Source organism: Homo sapiens, chromosome 7 (assembly GCF_000001405.40).
Source record: "Homo sapiens chromosome 7, GRCh38.p14 Primary Assembly".
In the NCBI taxonomy this organism is placed as follows: Eukaryota; Metazoa; Chordata; class Mammalia; order Primates; family Hominidae; genus Homo; species Homo sapiens.
This window is the reverse complement of record NC_000007.14, coordinates 41,671,415-41,681,146: the sequence shown is the minus strand read 5'-3', so window position 1 is coordinate 41,681,146 and position 9,732 is coordinate 41,671,415.

Sequence of the window (9,732 nt, the reverse complement as noted above, 5' to 3'; positions counted from 1 at the left end):
TTGTTGTTTTCCTGAAGAAGTAGGTGCCAGGAGAAAATAGGGTAGGGAAAGTCTCATCCTCCACCAGTCAGGCTTCAAGGACTTATGCCCAGACCAGCAGAGAGAAGGGCTGCAGGCAGCAATGGAAGAATCCTTTTACATCAAGAACTCAATGTAAAGGGGGCACTCTTGGTCCCCAGGTAACAAATTGTGATACTCTATGGAAGAGAGGAACATTTTCTCTGATTTTGCTTCAAAGACAGCATCATGGATGCTGCATGAAAAATAGGCCAACAGCTTTGGGGGATCTGGGAGAATGGATCTTCCCCAGTTTTTGGCATTCACAAGGTATTCCCTGGAAGTAGTGGTGGTGTGATGGATCTCCGTGAGAGCGGGGCCCACATGAGATGCCCGAGGGTTCCCAGACATAAGCTTAGGGATGGGGTATGGAGCTGACTAAGGTCTGTCTTTGAGGCAGTGAGGCAAGAGCTAATGAAATTGGGTCCATTTCACTTAGTATAACCTTGTCTGCTTTTACAGACTTGTAAGAGTGGAAGGAACTCCATTTACAGTAGACTCGCACACAGTGACACAGAAAAGTGTGGTAGATCCTTAAGGAATGTTAGTTGAACCCAAATTCAAAAACAAAAGTTACAAAAGAATTTGTCTTACTAAAGGAGATCTTTACAAGCAACTGATTTTTTGACAATTTGAGAGACGAATCTTAGTCAATTTGAGGGAGATTTTGTGTAAAAAATGAAGCTCAGGAAATAATATCTGAATTACTGAAGGAAGGAGTTAGACAAAGTTAGGAGCCAGACTTGAAAACAGTGCCTCCCGGACTAAGGTAGCTGAGAGACACTATTTACAATGTGTATGAGTATACCACATATTTATTTTAAAAACTCCTATGATGGTGTTATGTGCTGGGCATTGTTCTGAATGTTTTAAGCCTTATAAAAACTCTATGAGGTAGAGCTTCTGCCCTTGGCTTTTTCAAAGGTGGATCTTAGCCACCATTCCATAGGTTAGAAAAACAAACTATTTTGGCAAAGAGTAGTGCAATAACTTGTCCAAGGTCAAACACCTATGATGCGACAGAGCGGGGGTTCAAACCCGGGGAAGCCCTTTACCAGCCATTGAACTTCCGCCATGTGTCCTACTACAGTCCACCATGAGCATGATTCCTGCTCCTCCATAAGTCTGCTGATATCACAACTGTGTCCTTCCACTTTACTATATGATTTGCATATTTATAGCTGATACAACCAACTACTTATCCGGCTGGTGATCTACAGAGAGGAGACACTAGCGAGGAGGAAAGAATGCTGTATCATGAGTCAGGAAATCCAAGCTTTATCCTTTCTCAGTCACTAAATAACTCTGTCATTAAGTTATATTTACATTTTTGGTTTCAATGTCCACATCTATAAAAAAGGCCAAGTGAGAATCTCTCAAGTGTGATTCAGCCTTAAGACACTAAAATGCAAAGTAGCTAGACATGGATAAGACATGGATCTCTTGGACACAGCTTCTGCATCTTCCTTTGTAATAGATCTTATCACAAGGACCTACCTAATCATCAGATATATTTTTAAATGGACTGTTACTGTGTGTTTGACGTCCCAATAAGTACTTTTTGTCGTAACAGCAACAACAGTAAAATATTTGACTTCAATACTTCCTGTAGGACAAAAACAATTGTCAAGACCATTCATCCAAGTTGACTAGAAAAATTACTGCCGAATAACCCATGTTGCTTTTAAAGAAGAGACTAAAGCAAAGAGATGAGGTTTGGATACATGTGTTTCACACTTAGTTATGATTAGACAGATATGTTCAGATACAGCTTTCTATTTTGTTTTGGGCATGTTGTCCAGCTATCTTTTGCTTGCATTTCTATATTTCTGGGTCTGTGTTTCACTTTGCACATGACTGGATTTTAATCTCTTTTCTCTTTCACTCTCTTGATAGAGTTTCTGCTTCTATGTTTTTCTTTTCTATCATTTTTCGTATTTCTAGAGAGCATTCTTTCTTTGGCTCCTAAAAGCCAGAAAGGAAGGTCATTAAGAGTAAAACTACTTGGGCAGGGAAAGTTTCAGATGGGACTTCATTCTTTAGTGCAGAAATTCTCCAACTTTAGTGTGCACAGTCATCTGGGAACCTTATTAAAAATATTAAAAATAAATATTCCATGCTTCACCCACCAGAAATTTTGAGACAGTAGATCAGGAATAGGACTAGAGAATCTACATTTTTAGAGAAGTTCTGGAGTACAGACTTAGCGCTTTTCATTTTAAAAATCATTCAACAAGTAAATAGAGGAGTAGGCCTCTGTGAAGATGAGGTTTTTGTTTTTTGTTTTTGCCAAAAGGTAAAGACAGACCAACTAGAAAAACTGAAAAGTGCCATACCGTATTGGTGACCCTGAATTCTTCTTTGGAAGCAAATAAATGGAATGTTAGTATGAACTGGCCAAAAGCCACCTTTGCTCACATCTGGGTATTTCCTCTGCTCAGATAGTCTTTTCCAGGTTCATGGATAAGAAGTATGAGCACATAGTATAATAACTGCAGAAGTAGAAGTAAAAGATTATTTACTTTGATCTAATTAAAGATGCATAGGGTTTTAAATGGTATGTTTAGGGCTTAGTGATATATTTCCACCTCTGTTTTTTCTTTAGATATAAGATAAAGACAATTTTATTAATTGTATAACTTTATCTTTGAGAAATGTGAACTTAGTTTTATATGCCTGGTTAATATGAAGCATTAACATTACTAGAAATTGTGTACACATGAAGAAGTAGGAGATGTGTTGCGTCCTGGATTGAGTACTAAATGTATTTCTTCCAGGCTGTCTTTTTACTCAATAATGTGACCTTGAACTAGATGCTTTGATTCTAGATTTTTTCTTCTGTAGGGCAGAGCCAATTATACGTATTTTTCTTATGTCCCTGTGGTGCTTAGAGTGAGCTCATGTCAAACCGCTTTAGTAATTTAAGAATCAGAATAGTGATGAGTATACTCCTTTTATTTCTTTAATCCATAAACACAATTTTCCAGGCCATTGATTTGTTTCTAATCTTTACTTTTCTAATTCAATGGCTGAATGTTGTACCCAAACCACCTCAATGAACCACTGAGCAATGAATTTATGATAAAGAAGCATAATCTGTTTGATACATAGTTTTTTTTGTTTGTTTTTGTTTTTGTTTTGAGACAGGGTCTCACTCTGTCACCCAGACTGGAGTGCAGTGGTGCAGTCTCAGCTCACGGCAACCTCTGCCTCCCAGGCTCTAGTGATTCTCCTGCCTCAGCCTCCCGAGTAGCTGAGATTACAGGCACATGCCACTACCACTAAGCTAATTTTTTTTTTTTTTTGAGACAGAGTCTCGCTCTGTTGCCCAGGCTGGAGTGCAGTGGTGCGATCTTGGCTCACTGCCACCTCCACCTGCTGGGTTCACGCCATTCTCCTGCCTCAGCCTCCCAAGTAGCTGGGACTACAGGCACGTGCCACCATGCCTGGATTTTTTTTGTTTTTTTAGTAGAGATGGGATTTCACTGTGTTAGCCAGGATGGTCTTGATCTCCTGACCTCATGATCTGCCCGCCTCGCCCTCCCAAAGTGCTGGGATTACAGGCATGAGCCACCATGCCTGGCCCCCACCGGGCTCGTTTTTGTATTTTTAGTAGAGATGGGGTTTTATCATGTTGTCCAGGTTGGTCTTGAACTCCTGACCTCAAATGATCCACCCACCTCGGCCTCCCAAAGTGCTGGGATTACAGTTGTGAGCCACCATGCCTGGCCTGATATATAGTTTTCAAAGTATGATAAATACACTATTTTCAATGTAGTTCTTAAAGAATGATAGTGACCATGTGACACAACCTTGGTTAAGCTGTATTTCTGATCGCACATTTTTAAACCTTGAAGGATGTATTTTCCATAGTGTTTTCAAGTAGAGCCAATCTCAAAGTCTCTTTGGATTGTTATGCTACACATTTACCATGTCACTCTAATGTAAAGTCATTGGAAATGCACTTATTGTAGACCTGTCACTTCCCGGAGACCTACAACAAAAAACTTTTCTCTTTGAAAAGGTAGAAGCGCCCCTTTGGCCCATTGAGAGGGTACATGCTATTAGAACAAGTGAAGCTGAGTTAACTGTCAGGAGAGGAAAGCACTGGTAGATGTTTCTAATCATTATAGTTATACATGCTGTAATGTTTGGCTTCCACGTAGTTTTTTTTTTCTTAGTGAGTGAATTTAAAAATAAGTAAATAAAATTAAAACATAATGAAGAGAATAGCTTCCTAGTTAAATAATAACAAATTTCAGGTTAGCCAGTTAGCAGCTCTGTGGCATTAGACAAGTTATTTAAATTCAATAACCATTTTTCCTTCTCTTTACATTTGGAATAGAAATGTATATTCTTGATAGAGCTATTCGAAAAATTTCAAGTGGAAAGACATCTAAATAGTGGAGCTTAGTGTTTGACATGGTGAGTTCGCCATCAATTCCTGCTAGAAATATTTAATTATATTGATAAGGCTCCAATCTCTAAGAATGTTCAGAAATACCTCCCTCGATCATACCCTGGGCCCAAGCATTCCAAGACACTAGTTTTGACAGTGGCCCCTTGGGATGTTTTAGGAATAGATGTGGCTGTTGTTTACTCTCCCAAATGTGGTTGTTAATAAATCATAGAGTTGTTTTTGACCCAAACATCTTTCTTTAATAATCCTACTATAAATATTCATTTGAGCTTAGGTTACCTCTTGAGGTAACAAATTCTATTAGTTTAACATATAAATTAAAGTAGCAGCTAATTTATTTGAATTGATAGAAACTGAACTGTCTCTTGTAAAGAATGCTTATTTTGTATATAATTGAAGAAGGGTCTTTTAAATACTGAAAAAAATAGTGGGCTAGGCACGGTGTCTCACACTTGTAATCCCAGCACTTTGGGAGGCCGAGGTGGGTGGATCACTTGAGGTCAGGAGTTAGAGACCAGCTGGGCCAACATGGTGAAACCCTGTCCCTACTAAAAATACAAAAATTTGCCGGGCATGGTGGCACGCCTGTAATCCCAGCTACTCGGGGAGCTGAGGCAGGAGAATTGCTTGAACCTGGGAGGCAGAGGTTGCAGTGAGCCAAGATTGCGCCACTGCACTCCAGCCTGGGTGACAAGAATGAAACTCTGTCTCAAAAAAAAAAAAAAAAATAGTGTATGTGTGGCTCTAAGAAGTAGAAATCTGACCAAGCAGGTTTAAATAATAAGGGCATTTGTTGTTCATATAGTTGAAGAACAAATTTTCAGGAACATTGTAATCACGGCACCAGCTCTATGATCTTATAGTCTTCTGATAGCTCCATTCATCAGTATTTAGACTTTTCATCAGGCATATGATCACAAAAGGACCCTTAGGAAAAACCTGGGCATTATTCATCTTCACTTGTATTCAGGATAGATTGCTTCTGTTAAATCAAATTTAGCCTAAAGCTGCCTCCTTACATATTTTAAGTTCAGCCTGAGGGTTTCTCTGTACATCATGAAGTATTATTGTAAGTGGAGGGGTAAACAGGTGGTAGCCTACACTTGTGCCAATCGCCGAGTTTTGGCCAATCGAATGTGGACAATTGTTTGAACTGTGTTCAAACAAGGTAAACGCCAAACCATAACCAATCCAGTTGTTTCTGTACCTCACTTCTGTTTTCTGTACATCACTTTCCTTTTTCTGTCCATAAATCTTTGTCCATCATGTGGCTGCACTGGAGTCCCAGAGCCTACTCTGGCTCAGGAGGCTGTCAGATTTACGAATAGTTCATTGCTCAATTAAACTCCTTTAAATTTATTTTGGCTGAAGTTTTTCTTTAAACACTTCCCATGGCATTCTTTTAAAAGCAAGGAAAACATTTCACAAAAGTTACTGGTAAGTCTTCCCTAGTCACTTTCTGCACCAAGTTGGCACAGACCAATCACAAGGACAGGAATCCATGATTGACTAAGACAAATCAGAACCAACTTCCAGAGATAGGGTCAATTCCCTAAATTGCTTTGCTACTAGATAATGTGGGACTGGATAGGGTGAATGATAGAGAGTCAAACATCACAAGTGCCAGAATTTTATTTTAATATACTTGAGGGAACTCTTTGTACAGTTTTCCTATGTTCTATATCCTTAAATTGACAACACCGAACATAATTTTGCCTTAGTTTTTGGATGATGATTCAGAAATTGTTCAGGTATAATCTCAGTCACTTCTATTTAATAAGGCAGGTCTATTTTTTCTTAAACTAAATAGTTTCTGGATCTTTTTGAATTCCAGGACTGCTCTTCTAAATACTTTGTCTCTTCAGTCATTGTGATGCTAACAACTTAAGTTCCTGTGATAGATAGCAATCTCCTTCCCAATTTTACTTTGCTATGGGAGAAAATATTATAGGAAACCTCTTAATGGATCCCACTTAATTTACTTTGTGATTGATGGACGATTCTGATTTCCATATAAAACACATTGCCTGATGCTCTCAGAAGATTGAATACGTGCAACTAGTGAGTCATTCTGTGAATTTTTGCTCTCACTAGTTGAACTGTATGCTTATTGAGGGTCAGGCATGTTTGTTCCCAAACGTGTTTCTGCCAGTTGTATTTGGGAGTGTATCTCATAAAAATTTAAGAAATCAAAGAAAAGCAAAACAAAAGTTAACAAAAAAGTACATTGTATCTATAAGAGTTAAAGGAAGGTCACTAAAACAAAACCAAACAAAAAAAAAATGGCCATAGAAGAGACAGCTATAAAATAAAAAACACTAAATATAGAAAGGTTCTAAATACACAGGTTTTTGCAGGGATCTTTAAGTTTGTGTTCTACTTAAAGAATCCCAAACTGGACATTGTAGAATATGCATTATAAATGTGATTCATACAAGAAAGATAATGGCAACCTCTGATCAATAGATCTACTCTCGAAGAAAAAGCCTTGGCCATGAATCAAAAGCTTAATGAATGAACATGCAATGACATATTTTAAGTTAAAACCTAATGTTAAGTGTATATATTATTTTGTATAATTATCCTCTTTAACTAACTTTTATTAACTAACCAACTTCACCTCAGCCAAGAAGACTCATGGTATACTGGAAGGGTGAAGTAGAAAGTGTGTGTGTGTGTGTGTGTGTGTGTGTGTTTACATGTGTGTTTGTTGGTAAGAGATGGTTGTTGGGATTTAAGAGTCAGAATGCTAAGTCTTTATCCAATGTCTAAGTCATTTAGACTTTAGACAATGTCTAAAGTTAATGAATCAAAAATCGTATAAATATACATTCTTTAGCACTTAAAAATAACTACTCAAAAAAAGCTAAAAGTGTTGAAAAATATTCGTCTTTGGAAAGTGGAGTTATGATAGTGGAGGGTGGGCTACATATAAAGGCTATTGTTTTCACTATGTGCTTATTGTTTCTGAGTTTTTTAATGATGTATAAATTTTACTCTTATAAATATCAACATATTAAACAGGAGCATCTACCAGTCCTGATTTTGCTGTGGCAGCCAGTCTCTATCTAACACAGCCTCCACAGATATTGGCTTCCTGTATCACACCCATGTGTCCTCCCCTCCCACATCTCATGTCATATCAGGTTGGTATATGTGGCCAATAAGATGCTGCAGAGGATGGCAAGTCAGTTCTGAGATTAGATTAGAAAAGACCCTGTGGCTTTGTCAGAGGCATTGGAACCAGAGCAACTCCATTTTGAGTGAGGGCTAGGGCAATGAGGATGAGACGTGCTGGGCTGCATTCTCAGAAAGTTAGGCATTCCTGGACTCTAGATGTTTACAGTTAAGGGAACAAATTAATGATGTTTACTTAATAGACCCAGACTTGGGAGTGTCCAGATATCCGGATACCCGGATGACAAAGGCATTCCTAATTTTGCTTTAAAGATAATAGTATTGAATCTTGCAAAGTATAGTAATTAAGACAAGTAATCCTTTATCACAAACTCTTGTAGCAGAGCATATCTCCCCATTTAAATAAGCATTGTACCTAGGGTAGATGCGTTCCTCCTGTTACTTTCAGGAACACTCTACTCTGTCTATGGAGTAGCTGTTCTTTCACCACTTTACATTCTTAATAAACTTGTTTTTAATTTGCATTGCAGACTCGCCCTGAATTCTTTCTTGCGTGAGATCCAAGAACACTCTCTTGGGGTCTGGATCGGGACCCCTTTCCTGTAACAGCTTCTGTCTCCCTCTTTCTCTCTCCCTCCCCAAGTGCTCCTTCAGGGGGAAGCCAGATGCTGTCTTATGAGAGGCCTTGTGGAGAGGCACCTGAAGCGAGGAACTGAACCCTCCTCCCAAATCCTTTAAATCTCATTTCTTATTTGTAAATTTTAAATAATAATACCTTCCTTGTGACTTATTGTAAAGTTTAGATATAAAGTATTTAAAGTTCAAGATACAGACCCACAATCACAGTTGACCTTATCATTCTAAAGATTTTAATTATCGATATATTTCTTAAACTTGCCCAAGTCATTCAGCTTGCATGTGGCGGACATACGAATCTAGAACAGAAGTCCATTATCTGGGGTGAGTACTGTGGAATTGCATGCTTCCAGAAAAGGCAAGATAGAGAAGAAAATAAATATTGTGTATATCAACTCAGACTGATGAGAATGGAGGAAATAACCTACTAGAAGGCTTTTGAACAACAGAGGAGCTTGGTGGCACGATGGGGGCAAGAGGAGAGGAGTCAAATGTGTGAGCATGGATTAGCTTTTTATTGGAAATATGGAGAAAGGTCTTCATGTCTATCATCAGAAGAAAGATCAACCAGAAACTTCCTAGAAATTTGAACCAGAGTCTCAGAGTCTTCCAGGTTTGTAGTAAGGCAAGTCAGGGCTGGTGAAGTTGTTAAAATTGAGCCAAAAACAGATGACAGGTTTTGGTAGGAAGTTAGAAGCGCTCATTTTGACTGGAAGGCAGAAATGAAGTAAGTTTAGAAAACAGATAGTGACTCCAGCAGTGAGAGATTAAAGGCTAAATGAAGAGAACAGAGGACAGGACATGGAAGGCCCAAAATGAAATGCTTGTTCTGGGTCTTGTGACCTGAGAATCAAGAGACTGGTCATTTTAAGGAATACAATTTCTAAAATGTGGCAAAAAAATTAGTTGTGCATTTGAACAATTGGGTGAGCTGGATAGGATGAATGCTGCTCAAGACTTGGGCAGAGGAATCTGATGTCGGTGGTACAGGATTTGGGGGAGACCATTTTCCTTTCCCTGCACTTGGTCAATAACCATGGTTCACCCTGGTATCCTGAGATACCAAAGCCTGATTAGAAAAAACAGGCTTTGTTGGGCTTTTTTGTCTGTGTATGTTGTTGTTTCCAGATTGCCAACTTCTTCAGTTTCAGGTCTCAGATCTAGGAAAAAAACAAACAAACCCAGAGAACTCACCATTATGCTGTTCCTCTCGTTGTAAGGTTCCAATAGTTCTGCATCCTTTTTTTCCATCCTTCAAAGTCTTCTCGAGTTTATTTTATACATAACATCCAGGGTTTTTAGTTCTACTTAGTGGGAGGAAGAGGAAAAAGTAAGTCTACTCCATCTACCCAGAAGTAGAATTCTGCTCCTCTGAACAGTATTTTAAATTTCTTGTTACCATTCTCAAATCCATATTGCTCAAATAGATCTGTTCCAAAGAGCTCTGGCAAGTGAGTTTGCCTTATTGAATGTTTTCACCT